This window comes from Homo sapiens, chromosome 3 (genome assembly GCF_000001405.40).
Source record: "Homo sapiens chromosome 3, GRCh38.p14 Primary Assembly".
NCBI classification, from domain to species: domain Eukaryota; kingdom Metazoa; phylum Chordata; class Mammalia; order Primates; family Hominidae; genus Homo; species Homo sapiens.
Window position 1 is genome coordinate 119324258 of NC_000003.12, and position 24093 is coordinate 119348350.

General features: G+C 42.8%; 1 protein-coding gene and 1 pseudogene across 2 annotated transcripts in view, besides 2 other annotated features; one reads left to right on the forward strand and one right to left on the reverse strand.

Moving 5' to 3' along the window:
* The window catches only part of ARHGAP31 (Rho GTPase activating protein 31), a 126332-nt gene that overhangs the window by 29875 nt on the left and 72364 nt on the right, over window positions 1-24093 (forward strand). The gene's annotated exons all lie outside the window — the stretch shown is intronic.
* Window positions 2585-2674: an enhancer, noted in NCBI's record as "active region_20298". NCBI's record gives its function as "activates an Ori minimal core promoter by ATAC-STARR-seq in GM12878 lymphoblastoid cells {active_cell/tissue: GM12878}" and the evidence as "EXISTENCE:reporter gene assay evidence [ECO:0000049][PMID:35858748]".
* On the reverse strand, window positions 17577-17683 carry RNU6-1127P (RNA, U6 small nuclear 1127, pseudogene; annotated as a pseudogene).
* Window positions 19732-19781: an enhancer, noted in NCBI's record as "active region_20299". NCBI's record gives its function as "activates an Ori minimal core promoter by ATAC-STARR-seq in GM12878 lymphoblastoid cells {active_cell/tissue: GM12878}" and the evidence as "EXISTENCE:reporter gene assay evidence [ECO:0000049][PMID:35858748]".

Sequence of the window (24093 nt, forward strand, 5' to 3'; positions counted from 1 at the left end):
AGTGGCTCACAACCGCAGACCCATAGGAAATGTAGGGCCATCTATGTAATAAATTTATCCGGATGTATTATAACAATTTTAAGGTTACACTTGTCCTTTCTTGAACAGGACAATTCTTTATTCTAAGACTATATGCTTCATAGTTTTAGTTATTTTGAATTGTCCATTCTGTTATGAAATACGATAGTTATTGTTGGTTGATGTCCTCTCTCAGAAAAATAAAAAATTAGCAGTCCTAGGTAGATCCCCCAAAATCTTTTAAACTTGATCTGTGAAATCCAAAAAGCTTGGGTACCATTGCTGTATTCCACATGTGGTTCACATCAAGGTTCCTTGTCCCTCCCAAGGAGATTTGTAGCTATTAAAAGAAACAAACAAACAAACATAAACAACAAAAACCCTTTCGAGAATCAGATCCTCAAAGAATGTTTAAGGATAGACGTGGAAAAACAAAGAGTGGGGAGAGGAGTCTTTCTCTACTCTCAACCCCTAGCCCTTAGTGTAGGTGAAGGCAGCACAGTTGTATCTATTCTAACTGGTATTTAGTATTGAGCATAACTTTTAATGGACGACTCCTTTTAGTAAAACAGAGAACCAATTTTGAATAAACCAAGGTCTCTTGGTCTCTCAGTTTGCAGATCAGCGGAATGGCTAAATGAAGGTGCTATACTTTACTTAAAAGGTGAAAATGTGTCATTTGGGTAAGCAATAAGCAGTACTCCTCATGTCAATAGTGGCATAGTGTGGACTTATATGATGCCGTCTTAAATTAGGCCTCATTGGTTAATGTTTATTGAACACTCTCAGTGTGTTTGGTGCTAATTAAAATATCTTCAAGTCACAGAATCACTGCCTTCTAGTAACTAGTGATGCAGCAAGCTGTAACTGTTGAATCATACCTACCTATATCAACACAGATACTACACATGCATATTCATCTTTTTTGGATGCTAAGATAAAATTTTGCTTAAAATTCTTACTTAGTTGTGTGGGAAGTAGGGGAAAGGAAGATTTTTAAATTTGAAATGGTTGTCCTAGGATAGGAAACCATCGCAGCTGTCATGCACATTAATATTTTAGAAACACATTCACATATCATCTCTGTTGATCTTCCCAAGACGCTGTGACTCTACAGGCTGATTTCAGAGATGTTGTTCCCCCTTTACAGGCAACATATTTTAGTGGCTTGCCCAAGGAGGCTTACCTAAGGCCACACTGCTGGGTCGGGAGTCTGCCCTGGGTCTGCCTCTTCCCACTCACACTGTTGCAGTCCTGTATTCTGGGAAGGCCTCTATGGGCCAGTCCCAGAGCCTTTGAACCAGGGGAGAAAGGGTGGAGGGGAAGCTAGCTTCTCCTAGTTCTGTATACCCAAGAATCCACCTGGTGGGGATGGCGGGGGTTGGGGGGGAAGGGGGGGACGGAAATGACTTAGCCTGAAGGCAGGCTGTTTGACAGCTAGGGCAAAACAGTGGCGAGAAGAAACTCAGGGAAAGGAGAGAGGAGCTACCAGTAATTTTCAAACTTCGCTTAATATTAGAATCACCTGGGAAGTTTTTAAAAATTTTTTTTGATGCCTAGCTGTCACCCATACTGATTAAATCAGAATCTCTGAAGGTGGAACTAGGCATTGGTATTTTTAAAAGCTTCCCAGGGCTGGGCACGGTGGCTCACGCCTGTAATCCCAGCATTTTGGGAGGCTGAGGCGGGTGGATCACCTAGGGTCAGGAGTTCAACACCACCCTGGCCAACATGGTGAAACCCGGTCTCTACTAAAAATGCAAAACATTAGCCGGGCGTGGTGGTGGGCGCCTGTAATCCCAGCTACTCAGGAGGCTGAGGCAGGAGAATCACTTGAACCCAGGAGGCGGAGGTTGCAGTGAGCTGAGATCATGTCATTGCACTCCAGCCTGGGCAACAAGAGCAAAACTCTGTCTCAAAAATAAAAGTAATAATAATAATAAAAAGATTCCCAGGGTTTTAGAGTGTGTAGGCACATTTGAAGACAAGTGGCCTACAGCGATGCTCAGATTTTTGTGTGCATTTTCAATCACCTGTGGATCTTGTTAAAATTAGGGTCTGGTACAGTCAGCTGAGAATGTGTCGTGCTACTGTACAGATCCAGAAAAAGGAAACACTGGGTGCTCGGTGGTCAGGAAGAGTTTTGTGAAGGAGAACAAGTCTGGGTGGGCTTTGGACATTGTGTAAGATCTAAAACTTAAGAAAGTATGAGAATAGCATTCCCCTCTGGGAAATGAGACAGAGGCCTAGAAGTGGAAACGTCCAAGATATGTTTCAGGGGACCCTGCTGGTCCAGTATAACTGATGGGGAGAAGTTTTTCAGAGATCTGATCTTCCAAATTTAGCACTTGGCAGTTAACTAGCTATTGTTTTGGGTGCATTTGTGTTCTTCCCTCTTCAAGACCTTGGTGTTCAGAAACCTGTGTTTTAGTGCGTTTTGCCACACATGATGCTAAGCATTCAGCAGGTATTCAGAACATGACTGGAATCTTGCGTTTGTATCTGCTATTCCCTTTATGTTCTGACAGATACTTACCCTGATCACTCACTGATTTCCTTTGTGGCTTAAAGCTCAATTTCTGTCAGGTGGGTTGGCTCGCACCTGTAATCCTAGCACTTTAGGAGGCCAAGGCAGGTGGATCACTTGAGCTCACAAATTCAAGACCAGCCTGGGCAACACGGTGAAACCCTGTCTCTACGGAAAATACACAAAAAATTAGCCAGGCATGGTGGCACGCGCCTGTAGTCTCAGTTACTCGGAGGCTGAGGTGGGAGGATGGCTTGGGTCCAGGAGACGGAGGTTGTAGTGAGGTGAGATGGCGCCACTGCACTCCAGCCTGGGCGATAGAGCCAGACCTTGTCTCAAAAACAGAAGCAAAACCAAAAACCACAGCAAAAAAAACTCATGGTCACTTTCTCAGTGGGACTCCCTTTATTTAAATAGAATTTAAAGGGGCTTGACCACTCCATTTAAATTGCAACGTCAGCCGGGCACAGTGGCTCACGCCTGTAATCCCAGCACTCTGGGAGGTTGAGGTGGGCGGATCACCTGAGGTCAGGGAGTTCGAGATCAGCCTGGCCGACATGGTGAAACCCCGTCTCTACTAAAAAATACAAAAATTAGCCGGGCATGGTGGCATGTGCCTGTAATCCCAGCTACTTGGGAGGCTGAGGCTGGAGAATCGCTTGAACCCAGGAGGCGGAGGTTGCAGTGAGCCGAGATCATGCCACTGTACTCCAGCCTGGGCAACACAGCGAGACAATGTCTCAAAAAAATAAATAAATAAAGTAAAATAAAATAAATTACAACATCCTCTTTCTCTTCCCCCACCTCTCCCACTCACTTCTTCCTGCTTTAGTCTTCCCTTTAGTGTTTGTCACCAGTTCATGTATATTTTATCTTGTGTATATTTACTTCTTTATCTTATTTACTCTCTGTCCCCTCCATTAAAAAGCAGGTCCACAGGAGCAGAGAATTTTGTTTGTGTTTGTTCACTGTGGTTTCCCCAGAGCCTAGAACAATATTGGATACTCCACAATTATTTGTTGAATGAATGAACAGTGCATATTGAATTGAATGCATATTACTTTTGGTGTTACCAGCACAAGTAAATTCAACATTCAGAGGCAGGAGAAACTGAAATAATCCATCTTGCTACTGTTTAATTTTAGAAGAGACACTTAAAGCACTATTTGGTCATTAGATAGAAAAATTTTGAATAACCTGTTCCAGAAAATAAATTGCCTTCCCAAGGATCATAGAGTTGTTTTTAGATGTCTCATATTAGAAATCCAGGAAAAATGTTTGATTTAAAAAATCAGATTTAAAAAAAATTAGTTTAAGAAAACCTCATAAAGCTACCAATGATTAGCTTGATATTGAACTATTTTAAAATATAATTATGGCTCAAGGGAAGGGAAAGAGTAAATGCCACCAAGTATAGCAGATTACTTGCAAATGAGACATTAAGAGGGGGGAAAACCGAATCTAAGAAGACAGTTCTGATGGTAGATTAACTGGTGGATTGTGGAATTTGGGGTTGGAAGGGACTGTGAAGGTTGGAGGGTCCTGATGCTTGACTCTCTTGTCTCTGCATGGACATCTCCAGTGATGGGAAACTCCTACCTCACAAAGCAGACGATTCCATCTGTGAACAGTTCCAAATACTGGAGGGCCCTTCTTTCTTTTGAGCAGTTAGCAACATCCTTATACTGATTTTAGAGCTACCTGTTAGCCGCTATACTGGGGAATTTCATTCTTCTTCTGGACAGTATTTCAAACTTTGAAGATACCTATTGTATCCCTTTTCCTCCCTGCCCACCCAAACCCCTATATATCACCAGAAACTCCACCTTTTTCTTTCTTTCTTTCTTTTTTTTTCTGAGACAGAGTCTCACTGTGTTGCCCAGGCTGGAGTGCAATGGCGCGATCTTGGCTCACTGCAACCTCCGCCTCCTGAGTTCAAGCGATTCTCCTGCCTCAGCCTCTGGAGTAGCTGGGACTACAGGCACGTGCCACCATGCACAGCTAACTTTTTGTATTTTTAATAAAGATGGGATTTCACCTTGTTGGCCAGGCCGGTCTCTCTGTACTTCTGTGTTTTCATTTATTAAAGGAGATAATACCCACTTTCCAGGATTGTTGAGGAGAGGAAATGAAACCATGTAAGTAAATATGTGGCATATGATAAATGCTTTAAATAACTCCTAGAAAAATAATAATCATTATTATGATTCTAAAAGGTAACTATTAGACAATTAAATCACCTATGTTGGAACCTCATGACATGATCATATAGCCATCTCGTGTACCTTGGAAGGGACCTAAAAGTCGTATGGCAAGCCAGTCTGTCTGAGAATATAAATGAGTCCAGTGTGCACAGTCCCCAAAGGCTATCCAGAACTAGAGAGTTTAGGGGTGCCTGCCACTTTGCTGCCTTCTAGATCATGGTGGCCAATGGCCACCAAGTTTATCTTTCTTCACGGTTTAGTCTCTTGAGCCACATATCAATATAGCCTGCATCAAGTTACCTAGAATTGCCCAACATGCCATTTCATGACCAGAACTACACGCACATGCCACAAAAACACCACAGGCTCCTGGAAGTCCTCTGTGAAATCTTTGGAGCCTTTGTGAGTGGGAGCAGCTAAAAATGAAACATTCAGGAGGTATTGAAAATACCTAGAAAATATAGAATGCTTGTTGCAATGGATCTATACCTGGCTGGGATCCTTTCTTTGTGAGCCTGCAGAAGTTCTGAAAAAAGAAGTTTCTCTTTCTAGTTTTCTCCCCTCCTCCTTTGCAAGGCCCCAAATCCAGCTATCCATAACCTCCTTCCACGGAGTCTCCAGTTATAAACAAAGGCCTCTCACAGGGCCTTCCCACCCCCAGCCAGCTGTATCCAAGGTTACAGTGGGGAACTTCGAAACAGGACTTGGCTCTCAAACAGAAGATGCCCTTCCTGCCCGCTCACAGAGCTCACGCTCATTCCACAGTGCCCAGTGAAAGGACAGACTGTTCTGTGACTGAACCATGAGCGTATTGAGAGGAGTCTGTCCGCACTGTCCCCACCAAAGTGTTATCCAAGCCTCATTGTGTGAGTCCTCACTGGTGCTGAGAAACCTGGTAAATGAAGACCCTGTCTGGGTAAACAAACAAAGACGCTGAAGAAGTCAAAGTGGAGAAGAGAATGAGTCTGTGTCTATGCGGGGTGAGTTTCCACTATCATCGGTGACTCCATTTGCCAGTTGCTTCATAAAACCAACTAGTGTGGTAGATATTTCCATTCAATCGTCTGATTGTTTGAACTGATCTAATCACCCCAATTAGTGTTGTGGAGAGAGCCTTCAGGAAAACAGCAAATGAAGCTCAAAGGCAGGAGCTGCAGTTGGGAGAATGTAGAGGGTGGGATTTGTGTATTTTCCCATGTGCCTCTTCATATCTTTAGTGAATCAATTCAGCTATCCTAGAGAACCCAGAGCTGCCCAAGCTGCAGAGGATGGCATGGCTGGATCTACCATTACAAAGCAGGGTGATGCCATCAGCTCAGTGTGCGGGCATCATAGGAAAAACCAGCCATCTTGTATTCCATACCAACAGCATGATAATCCCATGACCCGATGGTCTGTGTTGCAGTGGCCAGGAAATCAGGCAGGGTGTGCATTCCTTCGCTGGGATAAGAACCATGACTCCTGGCTCTCAGTGGCTTTGTTTGTTTTTAGGGTTGTTTTGTGGTTGTTTACAGTGTAGATGGTTTCTTTCCACCATCAATTAGTAAACTCTAGTTTTGGAACCATAAACCTGGATTTATTATTATGTTAGAGCTAATTTTCTGGTGAGCCTTAAGCAAGTCACCTCCCCTTGGAATCCCAGCTTCCTCATCTAAACAGTGAAGCAAATGGAGATTGTCTCCAAGTGACTGTCAGCTAGAGCCTTCTATGGTTCTGTGGGGAGGGCCCTTGTCCTCCTTTATCTCTTTATCATTTACCCACACCACTTAGGAGAAACTATAACTAAATGGGCTTTGAAATGCTTTTAAGTAGACTGTTACATACACATATTACGCATAGGAACAGACCTGTTTTGTATATGTGCGATATATTTATAAAGTGTGTGCCTTTGAAAGCATTAAAAATAATCTCGGCTGTCAAACTCTTGCTTCACCAGGTTGCTTTCAAGCTACTTTCCTCCTTATCAATGGCTCCTTCAGATCCACCACGCTGCACATTCTTCAGGAGGTGGCATGGCTAGTGGTGGGAGTGAGGTTGTTTATAATCTTTCAGATTAAAATGTCATTGGGTGCTTCTCTGAAACTGCTGACATGGTTCAAATGTCCACTTCTGATGGCCTGCCCTTGGTCAAATGAGTTCCAGGGGTGCTTGGCTAAGACCATAAGGTCCACAAATCTGCCCCAGGGTCCCCATGCTAAATAATAAAACATTGTTTCAGCCCCGAGTCACATTTCTGTAGCACTCCATGATAGAGATGAGATAACTAATGTAGTTTACATGGTTGTATTTGGGAAAAAAAGACGATCAAAATCGGCCCTTTAATTACTTTTCTTCTGTGTGTATGTAGAGTATATGTTCTGAACAATTTGAGAGAAAAGAATAAAAATGGAATAGGTTAAGTGAAGCCGTATTAATTACTTTTAGACTTTAAATTTAAAAATACTTTAAATTTTAGACAAAACAGTAAAAAATAAAACTCTGACTCCATGTTGGATTTTGAAAAGGAGTGAGGGAAGAAGGTGTATATATAGTACCTGCAAACGCTCATGAATATTCATGAGTCCTTGACTAGAATGAAAATCATCAAAAACATTCTGAATCTAATGACAAAAAGAAAACAGCTCCAAGAGCCCTAAATTCACTATTTCCTCTGGCTTTTAATGTATTCAGGCATAATCACCTCTTCAGCCATTTTGAGGGACTTGAGATTGATAAAATATGATTTAACAAGGACAAAACAATTTTAGCAGGATTATGAAAATCAGGGCTGTCTTAAAGTTTGACTCAGAAGAAACCTCATAGGGCAGCTAATCCCAGCCCAACCCAGTACAGGAATCCTGGACCCAGGAGTCATCCAGCTTCTGCTCAGCTTCTGCAGGGCCTGGCTGCCTGCACCGCCTCACTACACGGCCCATTCCCTTAGGTGAAGAGCTCCACGGGACTGAGAGTCCTTTCTACTACTGAGCTGAACAGCACCTCTGTCATTTCTGTCTTTGGGTCCTGTTTTGCTTTCTAAGTCAGAAAGAATATGTTTCCATCTACTTCTGCTTGAAGCCCTTTAATTATTTTAAAAGTTATTACTTCGCCTTTAGATTTCTCTTTTCCAGGTTAAATCTGCCAGCTCCTTCAACCATTCTCCAAATGAGCTAGTGTTTAGGTCCTCTGGATTCCCTTTATCTTCCTCTGGATTCCTTGTTTTTTGTTTTTTTTGAGACAGAGTTTTGCTCTTGTCACCCAGGCTGGAGTACAATGGCATGATCTCGGCTCACTGCAACCTCTGTCTCCCAGGTTCAAATTATTCTCCTCTCTCAGCCTCCCAAGTGGCTGGGATTACAGGCGCCCGACACCATGCCTGGCTAATTTTTGTATTTTTAGTAGAGATGAGGTTTCATCATGTTGGCCAGGCTGGTCTTGAACTCCTGACCTCAGGTGATCCACCCACCTCGGCCTCCCAAAATGCTGGGATTACATAGGCAAGAGCCACCGCACCGGCCGGATTCCCTGTATTTTAAGATGTGCTTCTACAAGCTGTAGCCAATCCTCCAGATGTAGTCTCTCTGGAGCAGAGTGCACAGGGATCTCTTTCTCTCTCTCTCTTTCTCTCTCTCTCTCTCTCTCTCTCTCTCTCTCACACACACACACACACACACACACACACACACACACACACGCATGCACGCACGACTTTCAGACCTGTATTGGTACTCATTACTCATGCAGCCTGGCTGAGTGAGCCTTTTTTTGGCAGCTTTGCCCTGCTGCTCACTCATGTTGACAAGTAGCAGGCAATTGTCATGGTCTTTGTCCCTGACTTCCTGACAGTGCTAAGCAGAGGTCAAGGTACTTTCACAGTGATAATGAGAACTTCCATTTACTAGTCCCTCCTCTGTGCCAAGCACTCTACTTGAAGTATAGCAGATGTTATTTAATTCAACCTATTAGGTAGATACTGCTATCTTCATTTTCCAGTTGAGAGCATCAAGGCTCAGCGAGGCTAAATAACTTGCCTAAAGTCATATAGAAGACTAAGGGCCAACTTGGATAAGAGCCCAGGCTCATCAGATCCCAGAGCCCATGCGTCATCTATCGCATTTTGCTGCCCTCATCAAAGGTGCTATTTGTTCCATATGTTGGAAATACTGGACCCAAACAGCCCAACCCAGCATTCTGGGTTGAACCAGGCATGTTTGTTGGAAAGAAATATTGCTCTTTCTTCAAAAAGGGACTCTGAATTTTCATTAATATTAATTTTCCACTATGAACCTATTATCTGTGTATGTATCCTAACTTTTTGAGAAGATATTTATGTTTTCTAACTGTTGTACATTTCTGGAAGGAGCCAAGGTTAGCAGCTCCCACTAGCATATTACTCACTGTGTAAAGGAGCATTTCTTTAGTATCTGAAGTTGTTCTGATTTTGCTGTAGTACTAGAATTTGTTCATTACGTTTACTCCAGCTATATTCTTTTTAAAAGTATTTCGTCTTTTCTGAGCTTTTTTCTTAATACATGTGATAAATGTTTATTTTAGAAAGTCCTACTTTATTATCATATTAGAGAGATGTCTAGCTTAGATTTGTGTAGCACTCTGCAGCCTTTGTAATCCGTGCCTCCCCACACTTTTCCTTCCCAACACTTATTACCTCCATTGACAGGTGAGCTCAGGGAGGTGAAGTGACTTACCTAAAAATTCAGAGTCAGGAAGAGGCAGAACAGAAGCAGGATAGAACCTAGTTCCGACTCTCACCGTTTTATTCCTTTCTTTTCACCATGCTGCCTCTTGGTTCTTCGGGCTTTCAATTATTACACCTCATTATGAGAAGTGTTTTATGACTGCTACTTTGTGAGAAGTTAAGTACTGAAGTAAAATTGAAATAAGCTGCCAATCCTGCTCATTAAATGTGGTGGGAGGTTTAAATGACATTGCCTGCTTTATGTTTGGTCTTTGTTATCACCAACAGTCTCAGAGTCACTTATCAACCCTGGCACATGTGCACAGCATCTTGGAGAAGGATATGACCCAGATGTGCCCTAGACAGTGCCTCAACTCCTTTAAAGACAAAGAAGAGTGGAATATAGGCTCCTGGAGGGGGACTGATGCCCAGGGACCCCCTTCCCCCAGGCACAGTGAGACCTCTTGCCCTTCCAGCACCTTGCTGACTTCCCTTAGTGGTGTCCCTGATACTTCATCTCCCGGCTCCCCCTCATCTCCTGTTTGGCTTGCCGTCTTGGCCCCCACTCCAGCCCCCACCCTGTCCTTTTGGCCTGGCTCCTTGGCAGGGCTCCTGTCGGACCAGACACTTGCGTGACTGCTGGTGCCTTTGGCTGGGCTCCCTTATCCCTGAAGCCTCTCTTCCTGGCTTCAGACCCTCACTGAGAACCCAGCTGCTGCTTCTGGAAACATCCAAATAGTAGCTCTCAGCTCCCTGGTGAGATGCTCTTGACAAAGGCCAAATTTCCCTGTGATTAGGGAGCTTCAGCCTTGGGGCTTTGTGGTCCCCTCGAAGTCATGCCTTCTGGGCCCATCTTCAGGTAGGGTGACCCATATAACTTATCATCCAAGTTGGGGCACCTTAAGAGTAGAAGGGAGTGCTGTTAATAATTTCATCTGCATGATAGGAATAAACAAGGACCATCCCTGGCCAGCAGGGATATGTTCCAGGTTGTAGTCAACCTGACTCTCCCATTGAACAACGAAGTCCACGTTTATTGGAGGCTGACTCTGCACCAAGCACTGCACTAAGCACTTTACAAGCGTGCATTATTCATTTAATTCTTACAATAATCCTATATGTGTAATGTTGCCCTTATTTTACAAAGGAAGAAACTGAGGCCCAGAGAAGTTAAGTAATTTGCTTGAGGTCACATCAATTAAGTGGTAGGCCCTAGTCTGACTCTAAAGCCTTTACTTTTCAATCCTCCTTTTGGGTCCTGACCAGTAAGATAAAGGAATCAATAGAAATGAAACCCTTCAGTAGGAAGACAATGGAGATAGTCTCCAAATTAAAAATGAGTTATGCTGTAGAAGAACACTTGTATGTTGATTGCTCAGAATTTGAAATTCATTTTCCCATGGGAAAAAAAAAAGATCTAAAATGGTGGTTAGGCTCTAAGCCCAGCCAACAAAAGTCTATGCAGACTATAATTTCACTGTGGCCTACTCCTCTATGTAATACTGAACTGGCATGGGAAGCAGAAGCCATAGATTTCTATCGTAGTTCTTTCACATACTGGCTATGTGACTTGAGACAAATTATTTAATCTCTCTGAGCCTCAGTCTTATCAAAATTGAGATAATGTCTAGCTTCTAAAAAGTGCAAGAATCACAGGAGATAATGTACATAAAGTCTTTTTAAAAATAGCACTTATCACATTGTAGGAACTGACCACCATTTATGACATTGCCAGGACGCAAGCCAAGTTTTGGAGAACCCTAACCCCGGTCCTCAAAGTGGAGACACTTTGAGGAGCCCCTAGGCCAGGGCAGGCCAGGGGATGTCTGTGGAAATGCGTTCTCCTTGGTGAAACCAGTGGCGCTGTGAGAAACATAGGAAGAGAATGGTATTGGGGAGGAGAACACAGGCTTCCACAGGGATTTGGGGCCCAGTTAGGCGAAGAGGAGTATGTGGCAGCCACACAGCAGTGGGGGTCTGCACTCTGAGGAGGAGGGGCATTGGTCTGTGGCTGCAAGGTAAGATAGCCTTGGGGGCAGTGTCTCCACAGCTGTCAGGAGTTGTTCTGGTTTTGGGGTTGGAAAGAGCAACAGACATTTGTACCTAGGGATTGTTCATGGTTCATGAAGACAGCCAATCTGCAAATGGGCATCAACAGCTGCCCGAGTGCACAGGAAATCTAGATTCTGGGTTGAGTTTAAAAACGGATTCTGGCCAGGAGCGGTAGCTCAAGCCTGTAATCCCAGCATTTTGGGAGGCCAAGGTGTGCGGATCACTTGAGGTCAGGAGGTCGAGACCAGCCTAGACATCATGGTGAAATCCCCTCTCTACTAAAAATACAAAAAAAATAGCCAGGCTTGGTGGCAGGTGCCTACAATCCCAGCTACTCTGGAGGATGAGGCAGGAGAATCGCTTGAACCTGGGAGGCGGAGGTAGCAGTGAGCCAAGTTCACGCCACTGCACTCCAGCTTGGGTGACAAGAGTGAAACTTGGTCTCAAAAAAACAAAACAGAAATACTGGTTCTGAGTTAAGAAGTCTACAGAAGATTCATTTAACTATAAAAGGTTTTATTTCATATGAAATGGCTCTTGACTTCCTAAAATGGGTATCACTTTATTTTTTAAATTCTTAAAATTTCTTGTAAGTCCCAAATTAGACTTTTCTCTACATATAAGCAATTTACATCAGCCAGTCGCTAGATGGGCCATAGTGTAGATCTACACTGACCACGTCAGCAGGGATGTACCATCATGCAGCAGCGGGAGAGGGACACCTTGCATACCCAAAATAAGGGGATGTGTCGTCAGCAGAAAAGTTAAAAATGACAATAAAACCAAGAGTGGGTTTTAATCACCAAGCACTGATAATTCTAATATTGACAGTGATAAAATATTCCTCCCCACAAAATATTTTGTTGGTCTAAGTTCTAAACAATTGCTGCATTTACTGCTGGTTTTATTTTTAATTTTATTGAGATATAATTAACATACCACACAGCCACCTATTTAAAGTATACAAGTCAATAGTTTTAGTATAATCATATGCTATACAACAATGACCACAATCAATCTTACAACATTTGCATCACCCTCAAAAGAAACCTTATACCCATTAATAGCCATTTCCCATTGCCCCACCTTCCCACCTACTCTCCCGGCCCTAAGAAACCATGAATCTAGTTTCTATCTTTACAGATTTGTCTATGCTGGACACTTCATATGAACGGAATCATCTGGCTTTTTGTTTCTGGCTTCTTACATTTACAATATTTTCAAGGGATATCCACATTAAAGCTTATGTTAGTACTTAAGTCCTTTTTATTACCTAATAATATTCTATTCTATGGATATACCACAGTTTATCCATTCATCAGTTGATGGACATTTGAATTGTTTCCACTTTTTGGCTGTTGTGAATAATGGTGCTGTGTCCAGAATTGGTGAGCTCTTGGTCTTGCTCACTTCAAGAATGAAGCCGCGGACCCTGGCAGTGAGTGTTACAGTTCTTAGAGACGGTTTATCTGGAGTTTGTTCCTTCTGATGTTCGGACATCTCCAGACTTGCTTCCTTCTGGTGGGTTCATGGTCTTACAGACGTCAGGAGTGAAGCTGCAGACCTTTGCGTTGAGTGTTACAGTTCATAAAGTTGGCGCGTCCAGAGTTGTTCTTTCCTCCCGGTGGCTTCATGCTCTCGCTGACTTCAGGAGTGAAGCTGCAGACCTTTGTGGTGAGTGTTACAGCTCATAAAGGCAGCACAGACCCAAAGAGTGACCAGCACCAACATTTACTGCAAAAAGCAAAAGAACAAAGCTTCCACAATACTGACGGGACCCAAATGATTTGCCACTGTGGGTGCCAGTGGCCTGCTTTTATTCCCTTATTTGGCCCCACCCACATCCTGCTGATTGGTCCATTTTACAGAGAGCTGATTGGTCCGTTTTACAGAGTGCAGATTGGTCCGTTTTACAGAGTGCTGATTGGTCCGTTTTTACTGAGTGATGATTGGTGCGTTTACAAACCTTTAGCTAGACACAGAGCACTGACTGGTGCATTTACAGTCCTTTAGCTAGACAGAAAATTTCTCCAAGTGCCCTACCGGATTAGCTAGACACAGAGCACTGATTGGTGTGTTTACAAACCTTTAGCTAGACACAGAGTGCTGATTGGTGCATTTACAATCCTTTAGCTAGACAGAAAAGTTCTCCAAGTCCCTCCCTGACCCAGAAGCCCAGCCGGCTTCACCTCTCAGTGCTATGAACATTTGGGTACAAGTTTGTATGCAGATATATGTTTTTATTCATTTAAGGTCTATATATGCCTAGGGCTGGAATTGCAGGATCATAGGGTAACACTGTGACACTGTATTGACATTTTGAGGGACGGTGAGTTTTAATAATATGTATGCGAATATATTTAGTATATTAGTACACTTTTATTATTTATCCTTTAATAAACATGGATTGGTACATTTTCATTCCTTGTCCTTTAATAAATATTGTATCAACATGGATGTTACTTGGAGAACTCCTACTCATAGTGACATCCATGACCAGGTAACACAAGGGTGTTACATGGATGTTACTCCTAGTTGAGTCCCAACCCATGTCCACGTAACACATGGACTCAACTAAGTGTTCATTTAACAATTAGCTCATACTCATTTAAGTAGTTTGACCTTGTTTCAGGTGCAGTGTGTGTTTCTAGCTCCTGTGGTACTACATATTCCTGCATTTAATTGGTAGATGTGAAATAAACAAAAATAGCACAGTAAATACAGAAAGAATCGAACTTAAGTCATTATATGACCACTTGAGGTTTTTATTTGTGTTTTAAACTTAAAACAGTGACATAGGGTGCAGACTTCAAGGTATAATATTTTTGTTTCATAAGTACAAATTTTAGTTCATACGTGACATATTTTACTGAATTTTAATATCTTTAAAGTAGAATTCTTTTTTCTCATTGAAGCTCAGAATTCAAAGCTAAAAAATAGAATTTTATTCAAGTTAAGCTTGGAAAGAGTTTTAGTTTTATTTTAAAACTAAAAAGCAAAATCAGAAAATACCAATGATTGCTGTTATTGCATTATACACTTATTACTGAACATAAATCCATTCTGTAGAGGAGAGTAGCATTAAAAATCACCTGTTCCAGATGTCAGATATGCTAGGCCTGCCACTGTGTATGAACTTGTACAAGATGACCAAGTTATTTAGGGAATATTTCTTGCATTGAGTAAGCTTAAATTGACAGAAGAAAATGGAAACAGATTGGCAGAGTGGAAGGAATTCCTGGCTAAGTTACATGTTTAGGTTAGCAGTTCAGAGTCATGAATTACTTGGGTATATCAAGACTGAATGAGAAGTGGAAATTTGGGGAGTTTGAATAAGAGGGTAAACCTGGGCCTAGGTCTGGAGTAGGAAGCAATTTGAGATTCCCAAACAAGACAGCAGCTTTGGTAGGGGAGAGCTGGAGTTTCACCATTTTGGCAGCAACACACAGCATGAGTGGGAACAACAGAAGACCACAATGAAAGGCGAATTATAAGGTTGGTCAATAGTTTCAGGCATTAGCTAATGACATTCTCCTTGAGGGTAGCAGTTATGGAGAAGGAACAAATCAAAGAGATCTTATAAACAACATAGCAAAGATGTCTATTTTTCCCTAAGCTGACTATAAGTTTAATGCAATTCTTATCAAAATCCCAGCAAGGTTTTTTTTGTAGATATAGATTAAAAGCTTATTCTAAAAAGGCCCTAAAATAGCTAGAACAGTCTTGAAAAAGAAAGATAAAGTGGGAAGAATCACTCTACCCAGTATTGAGGCCTAGTATATAGCTACAGTACAAAGGTGGTGTCCTATTAGCAGAAGAACACATAGATCAAAGTAACAGAATAGAGAATCCATTAACTCCCTCCGACCCGCCGCATCTCCGACCCCACACAAGTACAACCAACCAACTTTTGACAGAGTTGGAGAAGCAATGCAATGAACGAAAAAGAGCATTTCCAAAAAATAGTGCTGGAACAACTAGACATTCCTAGGCCAAAAAAAATGAACCTTAATGTACACTTTACACCTTATATAAAAGTTAGCTCAAAAGAGATCACAGACTTAAATATAAAATGCAAGACTATAAAACTGTTAGAAAAAAAAATTAAGGAAAATCCTTGGAATCTGGGCCCAAGCAAAGAGTTCTTAGACTTGACACCAAAAGCATGACCCACAAAGGGAAAAATTGATCAACTGGACCTCATCAATGTTAAAAATGCACTCTGCAAAAGACCTTGTTAAGAAGTGAAACAATCAGATATCGAGAGGAAGAAAATAGGTGCAAACTGCACATCCAACAAAGCACTAGTATATGGAATATATTTAAAAACTTTCAAACCTCAGCAGTAAAAAACAAATAATCTAATTAGAAAATGTGCAAGACATAAGCAGACATTTTATCAAAGAAGATAGACAAATGGTAAGCACACAAAAAGATGTTCATCATCATCAGCCACTAGGGAAATGCAAATTAAAACCACAATGAGACACATGTCATTTGGTCATTTCTAATTTGGCTGGGCCACACATTTATGGCACACATGAAGGGTCTAGTGTCTAGAAATTAATAATTTATCCAGTAAAAGAGCTTAGCTGATGCCAATGGCTGTCTCTTAAAGTGACTTGTTCCCTTCTCGTTTTGTCATCAAGTGTTCTAATGGTATTCCTAAATTTGAAGATCCACAAACGTCTCCAGAGGTAGCTCTCCCAAATGCCACATCTAAGTCCAGCAGGATTTAGTGACCAATTAGATATAGGAGTAGCTCAAGTGTCTTTGAAAATTAGCACCCTTTGACCTTATGTGGGGCAGAGCCTGGGCCACTTGCCAGCTGTGTGATGTGACAAGACACGTATTTCTTTGAGATTCAGTTTCCTCCTCTTAAAAGGAGAATGACAGTTCTTCCCTTACAAGGTCTTGTAAGAATTAGATCAAACACCATGGATATGAGGTACCCAGCCTAGTGCGCAGTGTGGCCGTGGGTGCCGTTTCCATACACAAGCCAAGGCTGCAGTCTCCAGGAAAGATTTAAGTGAGTCTCTTTCCGGAGTGATTTAATTTTGTTGACCATGTGGCTGAGAATATCTGAAAAAAATCCCAAATCTATTATTCTGCCTTGCTCTTCTCTTAAGTATGTTAATGTTTTTCCGAACACATATCTTGTTTTTTTCAAAACACAAGATCACTTTAACTATACCCGATTTCTTCCCGTGGTCATTCAGCTGGCCAGAGGAGCTGAGCAAATGCCTGCATGAGCTTTCCTTCAGTGTGTGCATGGGAAACATCATGGGATTTTTTTTCTCACCCAGCGGAGCCTGTACAGAGAAGGTACTCATAAATATTTGCTGAATGAAAAAAATGAATGAGTCTTGATGCTATAGAGGAGTTGGGAGTCAGGAGTCCCCATATATTCTCTTAGCCAGGAGGATATTTGGAGTCAAGGACAGCAGATAGTCAGGGAGGTAGGGCACATAGTTTAGTCTAGGTAGAGTTAGACAGATGGTCCTAAAGGGGTGGGGAGGAGAGGGTGCATCCAACTGAGGAAGCCTGGAAAAGCTTCAGTGAGGACATGACATTCATGGTTGTCTTAAGCTGGCGTTGCTGTTGCTGATGATAATAATAACAGCAAACTAGTATGTAACACTTTTTATGTCAGGCACTGTTCTAAGTGCTTTCCACAGGTTAACTCATTTAATCTGCTCAGCAACTCTGTGAGGGAATTACTATTATTCTCCTAATTTAACAGATGGGGAAGCTAAGGCACCAAGAGGTTAAGAAATTTGCTCAAGGTCACATAGCTTGTAAGAAGAAAATCTCCCCAAAATTAGCGTTATGAACCCTTGAAATATGGTTCTAGGGAAGCCAAGGGAGTTCCATCTGCTCTGATAACAGTATGACTCCTATCTTCTTAAATATATATCTATAAACATGAGTAGTTGGACTTCACAGGGCTACTATATATACTCTTGTTGCACACTTAGAATGGTCGTAGTAACTGGCAGTAAAAAATGCATCACTGATACTATGTAACAACCAAAAATCTGTGTGTAAGACATTCCTGCTACCTCTCAGGGGTCTGCCAGACATCCTCTCACTTTTTTTTTTTTTTAATATGGAACGCTTCGTGAAATTTCATGTCATCCTTGCGCAGGAGCCATGCTAATCTTCTCTGTATGGTTCCAATTTTAGTATATGCGCTGCCCAAGTGAGCACGCCTCTCACTTTCTGACATGAGACTTAGAAGTTCTGGGCACTCCTAAAATGTTGATCAAAATCATAGCAGACCACAGGTCACAGCTTGTACCTAACCTGGTCCCCACCACTTTTTTATTAAGATCATGGTTGTTTTACTTGTTCATATTCATGGCCATATTCCTCAAAGTAGAGTCCCTCTCTGTTTCACAACCTGCTGTCCTGTGACTGTGTGTGTGTTTGTGTAACAGAATGTGTGTTATGGTTGTGTGAGCTTTGAAAGAGCAGTTATAACCTAGGCCCCCCGATGATTTTTTGTTAATGAGCCCTGCATCCTCATCCAGCTCTAGCAATGCTTTGCTAAAAACAGACTGAGGTCATTCATGTGTAAATGGAAATACACCAAGAAAAAAATTAATACCAAATGTACATCAAGATCAAAAGAAAAAATAAATTTCTCAATGGAATACTCAGGGCTATGCAGAGACCATTGGTTACTCTTGCTTCACATATAACTGAAAGTCAGAGCATGTTTCAGTAAGGTTCTTAAAAAGGCTGGGACCAACCAGAGGCTGTGATTTGAGAATCCCACAAGGATGACTGCCCCCAAAACTGGCTGGATCCTGAATTACACAGGGAATATGTACCACCAAAAACTGTAATAAATGCCAAAAAAATAAGTAAGAGCCTCAAGGCCTGTGGAACTCAGGGCCTAGAACCAAAACATTTTCATTTAAAGACAAATACAGGCCGGGTGCAGTGGCTCATGCCTGTATTCCCAGCGCTTGGGGAGGCCAAGGTGGGCGGATCACCTGAGGTTGGGAGTTCGAGACCAGCCTGACCAACATGGAGAAACCCCATCTCTACTAAAAATACGAAATTAGCGGGGCTTGGTGGTTCATGCCTGTAATCCCCACTACTCGGGAGGCTGAGGCAGGAGAATCGCTTGAACCCAGGATGTGGAGGTTGCAGTGAGCCGAGATTATACCATTGCACTCCAGCATGGGCAACAAGAGTGAAACTCTGTCTCAAAAAAAAAAAATAAAAAAGGACAAATACACACAATGTTACAATGAAATTAGCATCCATGAACTATTTGATCACAAATTATAATTTGATGAATTTTTCAAAATCAAAAATATATAAACATGTCAGAACAAATCATTCTCCTGATTATCATTGACAGGTGAGTCTACAGAAATAAATGTAGACCTTAGAATGACACATTCATTTGTACATTCAATCATGCATTCATCCAGGGAGTATTTATTGAGCTCCTAGTAGGTGCCAGGGGGAACTCTGAAAAAAGAGCAGTATAGAAAGCTGGTTAAGAGTGGGGTTGGGAGTCAGAGAGACTGGGCTTAAATACCTGCCCCACCACTTTACAAACTGAATGATGTTCAGCAAGGGAGTAAACTTCCCTCAGCCCCTAATTTCTCAACTGTAAAATGAGGACTGTTAAACTTGCCTTGCAAGGTTGGATTGGATGAAGTAATATATGTGACATGCTTAGCCCAGTGCCTGGCCCACAGTAAATGTTTGAGGAAAAGGGAGGAGCCAGGGGAGGTGGTACTCTAACAATTCATACTTCCTAAACTCAGAGATATCCTGGCATCTTCCTCTTCGCTTTTCCAGAAGAGTGCTCCAAAGGTACATCCCCCTGCCCCAGCCCATCCACATATTCATACCATCAAAAATGTGGCTGGTAGTCAAGGAGCAGAGCCACCAGGAGGTTCATGCAGAGGCAATCTTAGAAGACAAAGACACCTATGGGAAGGGAAAACCTGATGAGGATTTCAAGGCTGGCTTCTTCCTTGCTCTCCCTTTTCTCCCTGAGGCCAGGTGAGAAAACAGCTCCCCCTTATCTCTGTAGGACGAGGAGCTCAGGGACACTCCTGTACATCTAGAAGCCTTTTAACCCAATGGGAAGTTTGGCTCCCTGACACACTGACATCTGCTGCTGCCCATCTTTTCTCAGTTCCTCCTCCTGGTGGAAGAAGCTAAATCACAAGAGGTGTCCCACGAGTAGGCCTAAGGTTGGCCCTGGAGGGCAAATAGGAGTCAGAGAAAGATTTGTGGTTGTGGCTGTGTGAGTGTGATACTGAGAGGGAGCACTGCTGCTGGCCGGGGGCGCAAAGAGTGGGAAAGGAACTCAGAGACAGAGTTGCCACATTCAGCAGATAAAAATATTAGACGCTGGACTAAAATTTGAATTTCAGATAAACAACAAATCATGTTTTAATCTATGTCCCATGCAATACTGGGGGCATACTGATACAAGAAATTATTCATTATTTATCCGAAATTCAAATTTAACTGGATGTTCTGTATTTTATCTGTCAACTCTAATCAGAAAGGGAAGGAGGAGAACATCCACCATTTTCCCCGTGTTTCCGTCTGAAACCAGATAGGACACAGTATCTCTGAAGAGTCCACCCATTCTGCAAGTACACCCTCATATGGCTGAAGCCTGTATCCCAGTCTCTTTGAGGAGACATTGAGTCAAAGTCCCCACTGTGCAGGGCATGGTGCTGGGTGCTAGGAATACAGAGGTGTACAACAGCCCCTCACTTAAGGACCCACTCACTAATGGAGGACCAAAGCCCAATGGGACAGTAATCACAATTAAAATAACAATAGCAATTGTTAATATTTATTGAGAGCTTATTGGGCCACTGTTCCAAGCACTTCATAGATTATTTTATCTATGTTTTGGTTTGTTTTATTTGTTTGTTTGTTTTGTTCTGTTGCCCAGGCTGGAGTACAGTGGCGTGATCATGGCTCACGGCAGCCTCAACCTCCCCCCATCTCAGGTGATCCTCCCACCTCAGCCTCCCAAGTAGCTGAGACCACAAGCATGTACAACCACCCTGGCTAATTTTTACCACCCTATGAGGTAGATTGTATTATTAGCTTCAGTTTTCAAATAAAGAAACTGAACCTGGTAGGTTAGGTAACCAACCATAGTTTTTTTACCCGAATTGAGATGTGTTTTGTTTATTTTTATTTCTAAGAGAAATTTCACTGCTGGTGGGATTTTTTTTTGCTGGTGGGATTTTTTTTTTCTTTTTTCTTTTTTTTTGAGGCAGAGTCTTTGCTCTGTCGCCCAGGCTGGAGTGCAGTGGCACAATCTCGGCTCACTACAAGCTCTGCCTCCCGGGTTCACGCCATTCTCTTGCTTCAGCCTCCTGAGTAACTGGGACTACAGGTGCCTGCCACCATGCCCGGCTAATTTTTTTGTATTTTTTAGTAGAGATGGGGATTCACCATGTTAGCCAGGATGGTCTCGATCTCCTGACCTCGTGATCCACCCACCTCGGCCTCCCAAAGTGCTAGGATTATAGGCGTGTGCCACCACGCCCGGCCCGGTGGGATTTAAAAAAAATTTTTTTAGAGATGTGTATTTAAGTGAAAGCGAGCACAATCCGTAACTACACAGAGCAGCAGGTGTCCTCTGGAGCTGCCCCAGCACACTGGGGTTATGGCATTCTACTTACAGGAGGCATGCCTGGTCTCAGTGGTAGAAAGTGGCAGTGGGAGGCTTTGAACCGAGGCAGAATGGCTCCAGAACTCATGCCCTTAATCAGGAACAGTAAGAGAGGAGACTGATCAACAGGCACTTCCTCCCATTGGATGCTAAGCTCCTGGGGATGGGGCCTCCTGTTTTGCTTCCCACTGTGTCCTTGGAACCTAGCACCCAGCACCCAGTACCCAAGCATAGCGTGGGTGCCAAAAAGCACTTGATGAGCAAAGGAAGCTGGGAAGCCTTTATGGAGAGGGTAGAATATGAGCAGAGCTTGAATAATGGAGCGGACCTGGACAGGGACCCCTTTCTCTTCCTGGCTCTGTCCCTCTTCCCAGGTGCTTGAGGCAGGATCAGTGAGAGAGGGCCATTCAATGAGCTCTGTACATGACTGCAAACCAAATCTCTGGGACATAAAAAGGTGACACCTATTCTAGAAACTAAGTCATGACGGGCTCTGTTAGCCCTGACTTGAACTCTTTTACATGGACACTCAGATGCTCACTGCCTGTCCTCTCCAGTGCAGATCCTATAGATTTAGAATCCGTCACATCTCCTGCATCCTGACCAGTTGACTGCCCTCTATTGGGTCCTGTAGCACCAGTGGTACTGTCTTCTGGATGAGCTGACCCCCAGGGAAGTCTCCTCAACTTCCATCTCCTTAACCAGCTCAGGACTGCTTTCCTCTGTGTTCCCACCAGGGGCCCTAGCCTGAGGCTACCCACTCCCAGCAGCTCTGACTGCACCCACAAAGCCTGCTACTTCCATCTCTTCAGTGAATTTAAGCCTGCAACAATCTACTGCAAGCCTACACCCTCTTTAAACAGGAATCATGAGATCTTTAGAACAATAAACAAACCCCTCCTTCTTGCTGAGGATCAGCTACTCGCTATTTAAGAAGAGAAAGCAAATTTATAGAAGGGGAGAGACAGCCTCTGGCAGCTGGCTGTCCCCTCTCTCCAGAAAGATATCATTAAACCCAGTGACTCCTGCCTGACAGCTGTAGAATGAACAAGGAAGGGTTCTCTCTGGCATTTTTGTTCCACCCATGATTTAACTGCATGTAATTGAACTAACTAGACTGTAAACTGAGGTTATGGGCAGTGTCTTATAAGTATAAGCTACTTCTTTGAATCCCAAAAGTCTAGCACAATGTTTGACTTGTGGGAATCCAATAAACATAATTAATTTGAGCTGACTGCTAAGGGTGTGTCTAAGCTTAAATATTCTAAATTACTTCTGACACCAAAGTGCTAGTTAGTCTGGGGCAGAAAGAAGCCCAGGTACTTAAGCCCTAATCCTGAAAATCAGAGAAAAAAGGAAATCTTAATCACTTTTCAAATCACTCTGGTCCCCTTGTCTCAGTCTCTTTCCAACTCTAGGGCTTTGCTGCTGTCAAGCTGGGTGACCTTGGATAGGTCCCTAAACTTCGTGGGTTCTTAATTTCCTGGTGCTGAATCAGGCAGGTTCAATACAATGATCTGACGGTCTCTTCCAACTCTGACATTCCAGAATTCTGGTTGACAAAAAAGTGGAGAGCAGGGATAGAGTATGGAGTGAATACTTGGGGGCCGGGATGGTGTTGCTGGGAAGGAGAAAATAAATATAGATCTGGGAAGAGACAAAAAGCACTACAGACTAGGGTACACTTTGTCATCCCTTCAAAGGCTCACTGTGCGCTCACTAAGATGGTGTCATCTGTCACATCCTACATGGTGTCCAGCTGATGCCCATGCACCTGGGCCCAGCCTTTTCTTCCACTCATTCCTCTATGTATGTGCTCTGCCTTCTTCCTGGCACTGCTTAAGGGACAAGGAAATTACCGGACTATAAACTGTGGCCAAGGGCAGTGTCTTGTAAGTTGAGTAAGACAGACATAGCTCTGCATACAGTTTACAGAATAGAGGAAAGGCAGATGTTTTAAAACAAAACAACTCAATTAAGTATTAATAGCGAACCCATTGATTTAAGACTGTATCAGGTATTCCCTACTCTTGGAAATCAGGGAAGGCTTCCCAGAGGAGGTGACCAGGAGATGGGTCACCCCATGCCTGGATCACTTCCCAGAGGGTCTTTCTGTCTCTACATGATCCTGACAGAGCTTTTAAAACACCAGTGTCTTCATGGAAGCTTTACGGTGGCCTCCTTGGGTACAAGCTCAAGTAGAGATTCAGTCTCCATTTGAACCCTCTTCCTGGCTGTTGCTCCCAGGACAGGCTGTTGTCCTTGGGTACCCAGAGTGCCCTGGATATATCTCTGACACCTTCTGTGTACCCAAGAAAAGGGATTAGAATATGAGCCTTACCTTGTGAAAGCTCACTATCCCTGGGCTACTCTTGAATCAGATCTGACCACTGACATTTTCAGTAGCAAACAACTGAAAATTCTAATTCTGAAGCTCTTAAAGGGTGAGGAGAGAAAAAGTTAGAAATTAAAAGCAAAAGAGATCTGTTTGATATTCAGATTCTCTAATTCTAGGAATAAGAGTGTCTGTATGATAAACTAGCATTCTCTTTGCTAGTTGTCTGTGTCTTTTATATCAGGGGTGCCCAAGCCCTAGGTTACAAACCAACACCTGTCCGTGACCTGTTAGGAACTGGGCTACACAGCAGGAGGTGACTGGCGGGCGAGCCAGCAAAGCTGAGCTCCACCTCCTGTCAGATCAGTGGCATTAGATTTTTGTAGGAGCCTGAACACAATCATGAACTGCACAGGCAATGGATCTAGGTTGCAGGCTCCTTGTGAGAATCTAATGCCTGATGATCTGTCACTGCATATATTACATGTAATAACATATACATATATTTACATTACATATTACAATGTAATAATAATAGAAATAAAGTACACAATAAAGGTAATGTGCTTCAATCATCGCAAAACCATCCCCCTGACCCTGGTCCATGGA